Source organism: Homo sapiens, chromosome 20 (assembly GCF_000001405.40).
Source record: "Homo sapiens chromosome 20, GRCh38.p14 Primary Assembly".
Lineage (NCBI taxonomy): Eukaryota > Metazoa > Chordata > Mammalia > Primates > Hominidae > Homo > Homo sapiens.
This window is the reverse complement of record NC_000020.11, coordinates 37,474,030-37,490,205: the sequence shown is the minus strand read 5'-3', so window position 1 is coordinate 37,490,205 and position 16,176 is coordinate 37,474,030. Positions and strand designations below refer to the sequence as shown.

At 46.4% G+C, this 16,176-nt stretch overlaps 2 annotated features.

Annotated features, from left to right (window-relative positions):
• Positions 2,447 to 3,091: an enhancer, noted in NCBI's record as "H3K4me1 hESC enhancer chr20:36115517-36116161 (GRCh37/hg19 assembly coordinates)". NCBI's record gives its function as "activates a minimal SCP1, AML or CMV promoter by ChIP-STARR-seq in naive H9 embryonic stem cells {active_cell/tissue: H9 hESC(naive)}" and the evidence as "EXISTENCE:reporter gene assay evidence [ECO:0000049][PMID:30033119]".
• Positions 3,092 to 3,737: an enhancer, noted in NCBI's record as "H3K4me1 hESC enhancer chr20:36114871-36115516 (GRCh37/hg19 assembly coordinates)". NCBI's record gives its function as "activates a minimal SCP1, AML or CMV promoter by ChIP-STARR-seq in naive H9 embryonic stem cells {active_cell/tissue: H9 hESC(naive)}" and the evidence as "EXISTENCE:reporter gene assay evidence [ECO:0000049][PMID:30033119]".

Here is a 16,176-nt window from a genome sequence, read left to right as displayed (position 1 = left end):
TCCATCCTGTTCTGTGCCTGGGAGGCCAACCTTAATACTACCCAGACTCCATGCCTTCTGGCTTCTATAGAGGGTCCCTGACTTATGATGGTTCAACTTACAAGTTTTCAACTTTATAATGGGTGTACTGGGGGTATTAAAGCATTTAATGGGCCTGGCACAGTGGCTCAAGACTGTAAGTAATCCCAGCACTTTGGGAGGCCGAGGCAGGCGGATCACTGGAGGCCAGAAATTCAAGACCAGCCTGGCCAACACGGAGAAACCCCATCTCTACTGAAAATACAAAAATTAGGTGGGTGTGGTGGCGCATGCCTGTAGGCTCAGCTACTTGGGAGATTGAGGCACTAGAATCGCTTGAACCCGGGAGATGGAGGTTGCATTGAGCCAAGATCACTCCATTGCACTCCAGCCTGGGCGATAATGTGAGACTCTGTCTCAAAATAAAACAAAATAAAAGCATTTAATGACATGATATTTTTGACTTACAGTGGGTTAATTTGGATGTAGCCCCATCATAAGTCAAGAAGCATCTGTAGTTGAGTGTGACCAATGGAGGAAACAAGGAGACGCTGGAGAGAGGGAGGAGAGTGAGCTTCTCTGGCCACCTTCCTTTGGCTGTGGGTTGGCAGTGTCTGCATTCCTTTTCGTATGGCCACAGGTGGGGTCTCTTTCTGAAAGCAGCAGCTTTCTCTCCAGGTTCCGAAAGCCCATATCCTTCTCTCATCTCTTCAAACCTAGAAGTGTGATAGCTTCCAGCTGTTGCTCATCCCTGGGTGCTTGATCAACCCTGGAGCCTGCTACACTCTGTGAATGGTCCTTTCATTAAATTAGCTTCACTTTAATCCTTTGGAATGCACTGTCTCTCTCCCCTACCAGGTCCCCGGCTGAGTAAGTGAACTTGTCTAAGCTCTCTGGCCTTCACAGTGGGAGGGTACACAATGGTGAGCAAAAACAGCCCTAGGCCTTGCCTGTGTAGAGCTGCCACACCAGTGGGGGAGCCAGATGTTAATCAAGCCAGTAAAGAGACCGGGCACCATGGCTCACGCCTGTAATCCCAGCACTTTGGGAGGCCGAAGTGGAAGGATCACTTGAGGCTAGGAGTTCCAGACCAGTCTGGGCAGCATAGTGAGATGTCGTCTCTACTAAAAATCAAAAAAATTAGCCGAGTGTGGTGGCACGCACCTGTAGTCCCAGCTACTTGGGAGGCTGAGATGGGAGGATCACTTGAGCCTGGGAGATGAGGCTGTAGTGAGCTATGATTGTAGCTATGATGTAGAGAGCTACTGCACTCTAGCCTAGGTGACAGAGCAAGACTCTGTCTCAAAAAAAATTATTAAAAAAAAAAGTAAAGAAGTCCATAATTGTAAACTGTGATAGGTGGCATGGAGGAACCCTGCTATATCAGAGAACTAACATTCAACCAGGGGCATGGAGGTTAATGAGGATGAGAAGGACACATGAAGAAACAGCAGGGGTGAAGCTCCATGGAAGGAGGGTGGCATGTTCCAGGAGCCAGAAGGCCATTAGGGCTGAGGCACTTATCAGCAAAGGTGATTTTGACACAAGTGGCAGAAAACCTAACTCAAAAATGTTTAAACAGTGAGACATTTATTGTCACATATAATGAGAAGTCCCAAGGGAGACAAATGTAATGTCATTAAGGACCCATGTTCTGTCCATCCTTCAGTTCTCCCAAGCTCAGCATATGGGCTCCTGTCCCCACAGTCACAGGATGGCAGTAGTCACTCCAGGCATTGTGTCCACCATGCCAATGATCAGAAATGAAAGAAACGGGCAGATAATGAGGTCAGGAGATCGAGACCACCCTGGCTAACATGGTGAAACCCCCTCTTTACTAAAAATACAAAAAATTAGCCGGGTGTGGTGGTGGGCGCCTGTAGTCCCAGCTACTTGGGAGGCTGAGGCAGGAGAATCGCTTGAACCTGGGAGGCAGAGGTTGCAGTGAGCCAAGATCGCGCCACTGCACTCCAGCCTGGGTGACAGAGTGAACTCAGTCTCAAAAAAAAAAAAAAAAAAAAAAAGAATTTGCTTATGGCTGGAGGACAGTGAGTTGGAGCACCCAAGGGGGATGGAAGAGACAGACAGGGCAGAGCAGGTGAGTCTTGCAGGCCTTGAGAAAGAGACCAGAGTTGGTGCTAAGGCCCATGGAAGGTCACTGAAGGCTGGTGATATGAAAGAAAATGACATGATCCTATTTACATCTTAAGAAGTCTGCTCTTCGGTGTGGTAAGTGGATGGGCAAGGAGGAAGAAAAGAAAGTTGTGAGGCCATCACAGTAAGAAGATGAGAGATGGGAGGTGGCTGGAACCAGGATGGGGCAGTAGGGTGGAGAGAAGGCTATCTTGGGCAAGATTCCCCAAAGACAGAACTGCCAGGATTTGCTGGGATTGGATGGGAGGGGAGAGGACGATGGAAGAGCCAAGGTGATGCTGAAGAACCTGGTTTGGGAAACTGGGTTGAAGGTTGGGCCGTTTGCAGAGAAGGGGAAGACAAGTGAGGGTGGGAGGTGGAGGGTGTAGTTTTGGGGAGCAGTTCACATTCGGATTGAGCTGTCATGGGGTAGTTGGGTATGTGGTATGCCCTTGAGAGGGCAGAGCTGAGGGCATGAAATTAGAGTCATTAGTAATCACTCAGGATGAGAATACAGACAAAGATGCAAAGAGGCTGGGTGTGGTGGCTCACACCTGTAATCCCAGCACTGTAGAAGGCCTAGGCAGGTGGATCACTTGAGGTCAGGAGTTGGAGACCAGCCTGGCCAACATGGTGAAACCTTGTCTCCACTAAAAATACAAAAAATAGATGGGCATGGTGGCACGTGCCTGTAATCCCAGCTACTCGGGAGGCTGAGGCAGGAGAATCACTTGAACCTGGGAGACAGAGGTTGCAGTGAGCTGAGATTGTGCCACTGCACTCCAGCCTGGGCCACAGAGCGAGACTCTGTTGAAAGAGAGAAAGAGAGGGAGGGAGGGAAGGAGGAAGGAAGGAAGGAAGGGAGGGAGGGATACAAAGAGCCCAGACACAAGCCCCGAGGGAATTCAACATTTACATAGTGGGCAGCAAGTGGTGGAGAGGCAGGAGCAGCAGCCACTGGGGCAGGAGGTTAACTGGGAGATGTTGGTGTCATGGAAGCCAAGGAGAGCCACTCTTATGAGGGAGTGGTTGGCTATGTCAGATGCTCCCGCCAGGCCAAGTGAGTTAAAGACGGAAAAGTCTGTTGGATTGGGCAATGGAGTTTATTGGAAAGAATAGCAGCAGTGAACAGGTTGAGGGAGGCCAGGCCACTGGGCAGCGTCACATCGGCTGTGAAGAGATAGGCCTGTGTGGGGTGAGTAGTCCTAGCCCTTCCTCCCCTGCCAATCACATCTCCCGGTGCCCAGCCATGAAATTAACCTGGTGACATTTCCAGCCCTCCAGCCCTTCCATCCCCATGTACCCCAACACCTCCTTCCCTGTCATCTCACTTCCTCAGGGTTGTCACAAAGTATTTTTGGTACAAAGAAAAACTTCTGAATCTCCATTTCAGACACTGGGTTTCAAGCAGAAAATAATTATTCTGCTCCTACCTAGCTGGCTGCCTGTCGCTAGGTGCTGAAAGGTACAAGAAAATGAGAAAGACATTGCCCCAGCCATGAGGCAGATGAAACCAGTGGTAACTAGAGCTGGAGTCAGTACCCAGAGGGCAGAGAAAAGGCCTCCCAAAGAACATGGAGATCAGGTTACTTGCTAAAATGTACATAATTTACTTTTGTCCCTTTTCACCAACACTGCTAATCCCTTCACCTCTACACTTAATCCCAGAGCTCCAGGGCCCCTCTCACTGCCCTGCCCTGCTCTTCCAACTGGGCTTGTACTGCTTCCTCCCTCCCATGTCTCCTGGAAGAATCAGCTCCTTCCTGGACCTGCTGCCTGCTCCAACCCTCCTCCCTCCTTTCTCAGCCAGACCCAGTTCATTCCCCCAACACCAACAGGGGCTTCTGCCCCTTGCCCCAAAGTTGCTGTGACAAAAGTCCCCAAAGGCCAGGTCTAGGAGATGCCTGAGCCTCCACTGACCTCTGTGCATGTGGCCCACCAGTGGCCACTCTCTTTCTGGAAATGTTCCTTCATGGGCTTCTGGGACTCTCTTTCCCTGTCTTCCCCTCTTTCTCAGGCTCCCCTCCCCCTGTCCAATGCTGGTGCTGCCCAGGGCTCAGACTCCAGCCTTCCCTCTCACTGTGCACCTTTTCCCTCAACTTCATGCATCCTTGAAGCTTTGCCTCTCTCCTAGAGGCTGATTCCCAAAACTGATAGTCCACACTGGGCTCCTTTAAGCTCCAGTCCAACACACCCATCTTCCTCTCTACATCTTCTTCCAGATCCAGCCCTGATCTCTCGTCTGAGCTCCAGAACCTGATGGCCAACCATCTCAGACATCAACAACATATCCCAAATGAAATTCTTGGTTTGTTATTTTTTCACTTCATTATGCTCTTTAATTCAAATTCCTAATCTTTCTTCTGCAAATTTGTTCTTGACTGATGTCTCCTATTTTGGGAGACACTTAGCGGTCCCCTAGAATCTCTGCCTTCTTCTCTTGCAACATCTCATGGAAAGGTCAGTTGATCTTACCTCCTAACCAACTCCATCATCATGACCAATGGCTCAGTCCAAGCCGTCATCTCTTGCTTGGTCACTGCAGGTACTTGCTAACTTTCTTCCCAATAATCCAACCCCCACAGAGCAGCCAGAGTAGCCTTTTTTTGTTTTGTTTTGTTTTGTTTTGTTTTGTTTTTGAGACGGAGTCTTGCTCTGTCGCCCAGGCTGGCATGCAGTACTGCGATCTTGGCTCACTGAAACTTCTGCCTCCCAGGTTCAAGCGATTCTCCTGCCTCAGCCTCCTGAGTAGCTGGAATTACGGGCGTGTGCCACCACACCCAGCTAATTTTTGTATTTTTAGTAGAGATGGGGTTTGACCGTGTTGGTCAGACTGGTCTCGAACTCCTGACCTCAGGTGATCCGGCCGCCTCAGCCTCCCAAAGTGCTGGGATTACAGGCATGAGCCACCGCACCCGACCCATAAGCAAATTCTTCTAGTCCTCCAGTGCACCAAGCTCATTCCTCTCTTAGAGCTTTGGCTCCCATTGCTCCTCATACCTGGAAACCACTTTCCCACCACCCTCTTCTCAGACTTTTGGGCTCAGCTTAAATGTTTCCCAAGAGAGACCCTCCCCAACCACCCATCTAAAGTGGGGCTCCTACCCCATGCTCTCCCTCACATTCTGTTTGCTTCCTCCACAGCCTTTGCAATCACTTCTTTGGCAACTGCCTTTTCCTCTGTTTTAGAGGACTCTCCCCTAATAGACTGTAAGCTCCTTGAAGGCTGTTTCTTCAGAGACAATTTCTACCCTGGCTGCTCTTTTATCCCTGGCACCTAGCACACATTTGTTGAGTGAAGAATAAGGCTGTATTGACATTCTCTATCTCACGTGGTCTTGACAACCCCATTTCACAGAAAAGGAAGCTGAGATGTCCCAAGACAAAGTAGCGTGGGGAGGGCCCAACACAGTGCATGACTGGCAGGGATGTGGCTCAAAGCCATATCTCCTGACCGTGCCTCCAAGATTTCAGGATTGAGTGCACCACTGGCCTGCCCCTATGGAGCACAACAATACCATGTGATCTCCAGGGAGAGGAGGTAGCTAGAAAAACATGTATTGTGTAAAAAAGTCATGCTATGGGAAATTCAAGGTTAGATTACCAAAAGGGAAATTGGGTGTGGGAGTTAGATGCTTGGGGAAGTGATCTGATATGAAACAGAGATTTCAAGGGTTCTAACCCTAACAGACATTGCAGAATAAAACAAAACAAAATAACCATTATTTTGTAACAGAAAGAAAGACATCTCAATGAAACAGAATAGAAAGCCCAGATGCAGATCCCTAGAATGTCTAATTCTATGACTTATGAGAGCAGAGGCACTGCAAATGAATGGGGGCAGGCAGGGGGAATGAAGTGATTTGTCACTTAGTGAGGCTGGAAAATTATTTTATCTATTTCAGAAACGAAAAGCAATTATTTATCTCTCTTTATACCAACCACCAACATCAATGTCCTGTGATTTATTTAAATTTTTTTCAATTTTTTTTTTGTCTTCTTTACTTTTTAATTGATGTCATCTTTTCAGTAAGTGTCAGGTGATTTTTTTTTTTTTTTTTTTTTTAGACAGAGCTTCACTCTTGTTGCCCAGGCTGGAGTGCAATGGCATGATCTTGGCTCACTGTAACCCCTGCCTCCTGGGTTCAAGTGGTTCTCCTGCCTCAGCCTCCCAAGTAGCTGGGATTACAAGCACCCGCCACCATACCCGGCTAATTTTTTTGTATTTTTAGTAGAGACAGGGTTTCGCCATGTTGGCCCGGCTGGTCTTGAACTCCTGACTTCAGGTGATCCGCCTACCTCAGCCTCCCAAAGTGCTGGGATTATGGGCATGAGCCACCATGTCCGGCCATGTCAGATGATTTAAATGCAAAAAAAAAAAAAAAAAAAAGAAAGCATAGTAATAACTAGAAAAAACTGGAAATGATTCATTATCCAAACTATGGTCGAGGAAGGCCATTGTAGCATTTACAGCAATACAGAGAACTGTGCTGGAAAATATAAATATAATTGACTATAGGAAATGTAAAGCTTCTGTGTGTTGGAAATTCTCATAAATAAAACATTCACAGAGGCAGTAAGAATTTTCATAATGAAACATTGGGGTGATAAAAGGCTGTAAGAGCCCATTTATGAAAGATGAAGTTCAAAAGTCAAATTCAGTTGAAAATGTTGAACTTACTCATAATAAAATAAATGTAAATTTGAATGCAGGGATACCACTTTTGGCCCATCGAATGAGTACTTTACAAAGCAAGAGCTCACAGAGCTCATTCAGCCCCGGTGGCATGGGCCCTCTCTTGCACAGCTGGCAGGACTGTGAAGTGGCAAAATCTTTCTACAAGGCAATTTGTTTAAGATGTGTGAAGAGCCTCAAAAAGGTTCGTACTGTTTGACTCAGTAATTCCATTTGCAGGAAGCTCATCCCAAGAAGTGCTCTAAAGCAATGCCCAAAGATTTCTGCAGAAAGATGTGCACTGTGGCTTTAGGTGTCATAGCAAAAAAGAAAAAAGGAAGTTATCAAAATCTTCAGCTCCAGGAGAACAGTTAACCAAATTATGTTCCATTCATTAACTGGATTATTAGGCAGCCATTAAACATAATAATTACAAAGGAAGTTGACTAATATGGGGAGATGTTTAGCATATAATCAATGGAAAAGGATGGTGCAAAATTACATACAATGAAAGCATCTATTGTAAATAAATGCATTAAAAAGGCTAAGAAGAGATGTGCTTTTCCGGCGCATTTTTACAGAACTTGACAATGGATGTTGGGATTCTTGTCAAGATGTTTTAGTTCTTCATGACTTACTTCTCTCCAAATTTTCTGCCATATTTGGATATCGCTGTTTTTATGATAATATATTTCATTTTTCCCTTATTTATTTTGCTTAGACTGTTAGAGAAATATGATAATATATTTCAAAAGTGCAGAAGAGAACAAGAATAACATAATGAATACAATATACTCACCATCTAACCAATATAATGAATACAATATACTCATCCATCCATGTATTTCTTTTTACAATAGAAAAAGAAGAAAAAAATAAGAGCTAGGTCTTAAGGAAACGGTACCTGCATCAGGCAATTTTTGAAGGGGTGAGGGCTTGGAGGGGTTGGGCAGGAAAGGAAAGAAAATGGTTCTGCATGAGGAGGCTGCCTGGGTGGGCCTTCTTCAAAAAACCTCAGAGCTAAAGAACAGGGAGGGAGCTTCAGGCTCCTGGTGACCAATGTCCATCATTTGAAATGCCCTTTCTAGTATATGGCAAATTCCCTCTGGACACAGGTCAAATCCTGAGCTCCTCAGTTCTGTAGGTCAGTGTGTCTATCCCTGTGCCATTGCCACACTGTTTAATCCTTTTGTTGCTTTGTCGTATGCTACCTAGTAGGGCAAATCCAGTCCTTTTTCCCCTACTGTGTTCCACCACTTGTTTTTCTTTCTCAAAATTATCTTGGCTATTCTTGCCCATCTCCTGTACCATATGACTTTTAGAATCAGCTTATTAAGTTCCATTAAAACATCCTAGTGGGATTTTGATGGGAAGACATTGAATTTCTAAATTAATTTTGAGAGAATTGACATCTTTACAATATCAAATGTTCAGGACCCTAACATTTTAAGGGTGGTTGAGTCAGAGGTTCTGATTAATGAGACTGGGAAGGAAAAGTCGTCATAGAGATGGGTTAAAAACAAGGAGAGGGTGTTGTCATGGAAACCAAGAGAGCCCAGCATTTCGAGAAGGCGAGAGTGATCAACAATATCAAACCCTGCAGAGAATTCCAATAAGACAGGGTTGGAAAAACACCCACTCAAGTTGGTAATTAGGAGGTTATCGGAGCCTTCAGCAAGAGCAGTTTCAGGGGTGTGATGGAGCAGAACCCCGACTGCAGTGCCTGAGGATGATAGATAGTCAGTGAAGACAGCCCTTTTACAGAAGTTTAGATAATTAAGTTTTGATAATTAGAAAAGTTTAGAGAAAGATTGTCTGGGAGCTCGAAAGTGAGATGTGGAGTCAAGAGAAAGTTTTCAACTCAATTCCACACATATTTTTTGAGCACCTCTTGTGTGCTGGCTAGTTGTTGATGAGACCATGTGAAAAAGACAGACACACATCCCTGCCCATGTGGAGCTTATTGTCTAAAAGGGGCTCCTGTTGCTTCCCCTAAAAGGGGAAACAGATGTGAATTAATTACATGAATAAAAGGATAATTAGCAACACTGATACTCATGAAGGACAAGTGTGTGGTGCTGAAAACAGTGAGGAGACCCCCAGAAGGGATCTGAAAGATGAGTGGGTATCAACCAGGCTAGGAGGAATCAGAAAGAGCATTCCAGGCAGAGGAAACAGCCCAGACAAAGGCCCAGCAGTGGGAGGGGCAGAGTGTGTTCTGGGAGGGGAAGAAAGCCAGTAAGGCTGGAACACAGTGGATGAGGGGAAGCAGGGTAAAAAATCTGAATGGAAGAGCCAGCCAGCTGGAAAGGTTTGGGGCTTTATTCCAAGAATGCTGGGGAGTCTTTGGAGACATTTAAGCATGGCAATGACTTGTTCCAATTTGCATGTTGAAAGTATCACTCTGGGCTGGGCACCGTGGCTCATGCCTGTAATCCCAGCACTTTGGGACACTGAGGTGGGTGGATCACCTGAGGTCAGGAGTTCGAGACCAGCCTCGCCAACAAGGCAAAACCCCATCTCTACTAAAAAAAATACCAAAAAAAAAAAAATTAGCTGGGCGTGGTGGCACATGCCTGTTAACCCCAGCTACTCAGGAGGCTGAGGCAGGAGAATCACTTGAACCTGGGAGATGGAGAACGCAGTGAGCTGAGACCATGCCATTGCTCTCCAGCCTGGATGACAGAGTGAGACTCTGTCAGAAAGAGGAAGGAAAGAAGGAAAGAAGGAAAGAGGGAGGGAGGGAGGGAAGGAAGGAAGGAAGGAAGGAAGGAAAGAAGGAAGGAAGGAAGGAAGGAAGGAAGGAAGGAAGGAAGGAAGGAAGGAAGGAAGGAAAATGAAAGAATGAAAGGAAGGAAGGAAAACGAAAGAATGAAAGGAAGGAATGAAGGAAAGAAGGAAGGAACGAAGGAAGGAAGGAGGGAAGGAAGGAAAGAAGGAATCACTCTGGCTTCTAGCGAGGAAGCGATGGCAGGAGTGCAGGAGGGGGTGGAGCTGAAGAGAACTGGAAGGGCCCAGGAGCCACTGGGAGATGAAGTCTCCAGGCTTGAGGCTGGACTGTGGAGGTAGGTGGTGAGAGCCAGTGAGCTGTGGAGGAAGATGCCAGGCGTCTCCTGGGTCTACTGGCTGGTGGCATCTCTCCATGAGATGTGGGACTCTGGTGAAGCACCATATTTGGATGAGAAGAGTTGTCTGTTGAGTCAGTTGAGCATGAGGTGCCTTTGGGACTTGTGGCTTCTGGAGTCCATAGGAGAACTTGGGCTGGAATTGGACATTGCAGAGGCTTTGGGTCCAAGCCGGGGTGGAGGCGGTGTTGAAGCAGCTCAGAGATGGGTGAGATTAAGGAACAGAGTGCAGAGGAATGAGCAGATGACAGAGGCTGAGCCCAGGCGAGCACTCGGGTTCAGGTGGCTGGGTAAGGGAAGAGGACACCAAGAAGGAAGGACCAGAGAGGAAAGCAGCAGGGGGGACTCCCTGGGGCCCATGGAAGAGAGTTTCCAAAAGGACACAGTGGCAGTGGCAGGGAGCTCAGGGGAGGTAAAAGTTGATTGGTGACCCTGGACTTGGCCTTCAGGGCCGTTTGTCAGTTTTTCGGGGATGCGGAGGGGTGGGTCAGGAGCAAGGTTGATACAGGGTCTATCTGTCAAGAGAGGAGAGTCAACAAAGGGGGGCAGAATTTTTTGCTTCATTTTGGTTTTAATAAAAGGGCAACATTTGCATATTAATTTTCCCAAAGGAAGGTACCTGTGGGATATGAGTTACTGTGGAGCAGAGGCAATTAGCTAAATGAGGCCTCCAAGGAAATGAGGCCACATGGACGAGAGGGATCCACCCTGGCGGTAACACACATCCAACCTCCTGGGACAGCGCTCGATTGGCCTTTTACTGAGTAATCTGCGTCCCACTTTCTGTCTGGGAACTTGTATATGACCTTTGTGTTTTAACTGTGTCTCCCTTTGGCAGGAATTTCATCCCACTCCATGGCCAGGACCCTGTCTCATTCGTTTTGGAATCCTCCCCAGTCTGGAGCAGCCAACTGGGGCTGTTGAACAAATATTTTCTGATTTGAAATAAAATGTCTGAAATGGGAGGTCAAAAATTTTTAGCCAAAAAGAGTTTGTGATTATCGAAACAAACAAATTCCGTGTGTTTGCTTAATTTTGCACGGCAGAGTGAAGGAGGGGCCAGGAGAGTTGGAGGAGAAGGTTGTGTGGTTGGCATCCTTGTCATGCAGGGATGATGGGGTATGGGACAGGAGGTCTGCTCAGGAGGGAGAACCAGGATCACCCACCCCAGCGTGGGCACAGGACTTCACAGTTTACACAGTTGAGTCAGAGCTAAGTTTTATATGATCCTCACAAACCCCACGAGGCTGACAGGGATTCCACGGAGAAGCAAAGCAGGAAAATGAGACTCTGCACAGGGCACTAGCTGTGGAAGGCCTCAGGGCACGCTAGTGGCAGGTAGCGGACTCAACCTCTGTGCCTCTTGCCTCTGACTCCAGCGTCCCAGCCCCTCTACATCCCAGAGTGAGCTCCAACTAGGTTCATGTCCAGAACTTGACTTCGGGGGGAATCTAGTCCACAATCAGAAGTCAAAGTTATGAAAGATGAAAGCGGAGTTTGCAGGTCATGAGGAGAAGGCATTCACCAGAAGGCTGTCTGGAGTGGGAGGTTTGACCAGCCTTCCCAGCTAGCAAAATATAACCCAAAACTACATCAATGAGATGACAGTGGCAGGGTGCAGGTCCAAGCTCCAGGACTCAGGGAAAGGCGACTTGTGTGTGATGGGCGTGAATGCCACAGTGTCAACAGGACACATAGACTGCTCTGCTCTGCCTGGCAGGATCTTGCCTCTTCTGGTCCCTCCTCACTTCCTGGTAACCACAGGCTCTGTCTCCCCGAATTTGGCAAACCCTAGCTTCCCTGGGTCGGCAAGCTCACTCTTGGCCCCAACCAAGCCCAGACACCCTCCAGTGCCAGCTCGGCTCCACAAGGCTGCTCAGGGAATTCTGCTGCCTTTGCTCCCCTTGATGTAACCACCAGGTTAGACTTAAGGCTTCTGCTCTGGAATCCCCCAGACTTGTCTGGGACCCCATCATATTCCCCCTTGGGATTCAGTTCAGGGACTGGAAGATGAGCCTTTTCTGGGGGATCCAGCCAGTACTAATATTCTGCTTGAATTTCCTTGGATTTCTCTCCTTCTGCCCACAGGTTGAACTCTTACCCCCTTCAAGGGGCTCAGGCTCCACCATCATCGTGAACTGTCTTTTCCATCTATTGTCTATGCATAAGCTCTTTGCCTCTTCCTTTAGCTTTAACTCCAAATCCTCCAAGCTTTGTAGAATCTAGAATGCTTCCTTTCTCAAGTCCCAGCTCTTGTCCTGAAAAGCTATGGCTTTCATTCCTGTAGACTCCCCTGTGGACAATAGTCCACACAATTGTGGTTTGTGCTACAGATTCACAAAAGCCCACAGAGGAGCTCAAAGGCCAAGCCAGGGACTCTATGTAATGTCAGCACCCCAAAAACCATGCACCCAGGAAGCTTGGACAGTGGGGCGAAGAATGAGGGTGGAGGATATTAAACCCATACACAGTATAACAGAAAAATATTACCATACTCCACAGAGCTAAGAAGGGACACCATGAAGCAGTGAAGAAAGAAGGGCTTAGTTAATAAATGGTGTTGGAACGATCGCTAAGCTATTTGGAAAAGCAAATCCACTCATTCTTCACTTCATGTCATACATCAGCATCAAGTTCAGATGGATTAAAGATTTAAATTAAAAATCACACTTGAATAAAGTAGAAGTGAATATTCACCCCAAACTCTCAGTGAGCCTTCTAAGCTTAAAAGCAAGGGAAGCAATCACAAAGAAAATAAGAAGAAAATAGATTAAAAATTTTAGATTTAACTGTGTGGAAATTGAAAACAACTTCCGAGGATGTCACGCAGAGGGTTAATATCCTTGGTGTTTAAGAATCCATACAAATTGAGTTTTAAAAATTCAAATCACTGCTGGGTAAGTGTGAAGGGATGAACACTCAATTAACAGAAGATTAATTTTTTATGGCTCATAGGTTGAACCCATTTTCCAATATCTAATTATTTTTTAAAAAGTAAATTAAAACAACAGTGAGATAACACATTTTGCCCATCACAGAGTGAAGAAAAAAATTTTAATGAGAATACCCCATGCTGGCTAGGGTGTGATGAAACAGACAATACTGCTGATGGGAATGTAAATTACCACAGCCTTTGACCCAGTAATTACACTTATGGTGCTCCATCAGAAGGAAATAATCTCAAATCGACAAAGATTTATGTACAAAGAGATGTAGTATGCCCTTGTTTCTAATAAAAAATGGAAGCAACCCAAAAAACCAACTATAGAGGAAATGTTAAGCAAATCATTTTATATCCACTCAAATGGACAATTATTCATCCACTAATTGTATTTTTACAAAAAGCTCGAAAATTCTTATAATATAAAAAGTGGAGCAGCAACTGAGAAGCCAGGGTGCAAATTATATGCAGGATATAATCTCAGCTGTGGAAAACAGAAAAGAACATCCAAATAAAGACTGGGAGGAAGTGCACTGGGACCCTGAACCTAAGGGCACAGGGCTCAGGATGGGTCAGCTTTGATGGGGGAAAGAGAAATAAATGGAAGATGCTCAAGTGGGGTCCTGGGTGTAGTCTCACATAAAAAACAACTTCATATCTGGAGGAGAGGGGGAATGGAGTCTTGCTTCAGCCTGGCTGTCTGATCCAGCCTGCCCTAAAGCTCCAAGAAAGAATTGCCCTGGGCATTGAGCTCAAGGAATTGCCATTCAGTGTGTACATCCAGAGCACAGGGCACCATGAGGGGCCAGAAAGGAAAAGGGTTGGGAATCAGGCCAGGAAGTTCATGCAGGCCCTTTGAGCCATGCTAGGGAGTTTAGGACTTTTATCCCAAGAGCAATGAGGAGCCATTGAAGGTCTTTAAGCTTCACCTTTCAAATAGATTACAATATTAGCAGGGTCTCCCTTCTTTGCAATACCAAAAACCCAACTCTAACTCAGGCATAAAAATATAAGTAAAAAATAAAAGGGTAAAACCAAAATGATAAAACTTCTAGGATAAAACATATAAGAGAACAACCTTCATAACCTTGGGTCAGGCAAAAATTTCTTAGCCACAACACCATAAAAGAACGAAATGATAAAAGCATGATTCATGAAGCAATAAATTGATCAACTGGACTCCATCAAATTTTTTTTAAGTATGCTCTTTTAATTGCTGAGAGAATGAAGGGACGAACAACAAACTGGGAGAAAACATTTGCAAATCATATATCTGATAAAGAACTTGTATCCAGAATATTTATAAAGGAGTCTTAAAACTCAATGATTAAAAAAAAAAACAACCCAATAAGAAATGAGCAAAAGATTTGAACAAACACTTCCCCAAAGAAGATAAACAGATGGCAAATTAACATACAAAAAGATGCTCAACATCTTGGACTTAATCTTGTAGGCAATAGGATGCCGTGGAAGGGTTTTGAGCAGGTAAGAGCCACAGGCAGATATTTGTCTTATGACGATCTCACTGGGACTTGGAGAAGCAAGTGGATTAGGGAGGGGTAATGGCCACAATTCAAAGTTGACTTTGTGGGGCCTGCGGACACCTGGGGGAGATGGCCAGCGGGAAGTCATGGCCAGTAGGAAGTCATGGCCAGCGGGAAGTCAGGTCCAGCAGTCTGGCTTTCAGGAGGACATCTCAACCAGAGCTGCAGAGTTGGGGTGGCCATGTCTTGGGGAGACTGAGAGGTAGGGAGAGTCCTGTTGGAATCTAAGGACCTCCAACCCATCATTTCAGGGGCTGGCAGAGCCTGGGGCACCTACAAAAGCAACGGAGAGAAAGAAATGTCAGTGCCACGTGGCCACGTGAGCAGAGCTGGAGAGCAGGTTGTCATGGAAACTGGGCTAGTGAAGCGTTTCTAGGAGAGCAAGATCAGCAGGACCAAATGTAGCAGAAAATCCAAACCGATGAAGGCTGAAAATTTCTTTTGATTTGGCAATTAGTGGAACACTGATGAGCTTAACAAGAGCAATTTCAGGGGACCATGGGCCAGGGAAAGGGTGGAGATGGAGAGAGATTTAGGAAATAAAATGGGCCAGAGTTGGGGATGGGGTGCACCCTGGGGGAAGAGAAGCAGAGGAGGAGGAGGAGGAAGAGGAGGGCAGTGTCAAGCAAGACCCCTGGGTTTCTGGCATTCAGAATGGGTTGAATGGCAGCGGGAAGGGAAGCTGCAAGAGGATAAGGTTTGCAAGAGGAAAATCAGGAGTTCCATTTGGGACATTTTTATCCAACAAATGCATTTTAGTATTTACGATTTGCCAGACACTGTTCTAGGAGTGTTACTTAATGTTAATTCATTCATACTTACAACTATACCATAAGGTAGATACTACCTCATCTATCATCGTTTACACACAAGGAAACAGAGACACACAGAGGTTGAGAAACTTGCCCACAACAAGGAGGTGGCAGAGTTCAGACTTGAAGCCAGCCCATCCAGATGTGTTGATGTGAGGTCCCTGAAGTAAACAAATGGGGTGTCAAGGAGGCAGGTGGATCCGGGATCTGGGGCTCGGCAGGGATGGAGGGGTAAGAGTGGATCCAAGCAGGGAAGGACCTGATTTGGTGTGGAGTGTACACTGGAGGTCACTGGGTCCAGGAGGGTGTCGAAGCATCAGGGGTGGGTGATACTGTGGGAGAGAGTCCAGGCAGAGGCCCAGACCATGCCAGCATTTGGGGGCCCCCCAGGGAGATTGAAAAGGGAGGGCCAGAGGACAGACATGAGGAGGAGACACACAGGAACCCAAGGAGGAGGGTTTCCAAAAGGTGAACTGGCTGGCCATGGGCTGTGTCCAGAGAGGGCAGAGGAGGTGACTTGGCCCTGGGGAGGCTTTGGGGGGATCCTTGTCGGAGCAGCCTTGGGTGAAGGCAGAGGAGCCGTAAAAAGGGAGGCAGTGAAGGCTCTAGCTACAAGGGAGAGAGGGACAAGGGGGAGAGACAGGGGAGCAGGGTCCCGAAAGGTATTATTTTTAAGTGGAAACAATTTTTTAATTTTTAAATGTTTTTCATTAAATCAGAAAGTACATTTATATGGTTCAAAATTCAAAATCCACAAAAGGCCACCCAGAGAAAAGTCTCCCTCCTGCCCGTCTCCTCCAGCCTCTCAGGCCCCCTTTGTAAAGGCAACTGGCACATCCTTCCAGAGACAGAAAAATGAAAATCGCAATGTGGAATTCTGGAAATAGAAAAGCAGTTCAGAATCCCAAGATTCTTAAGAAGAGGACGG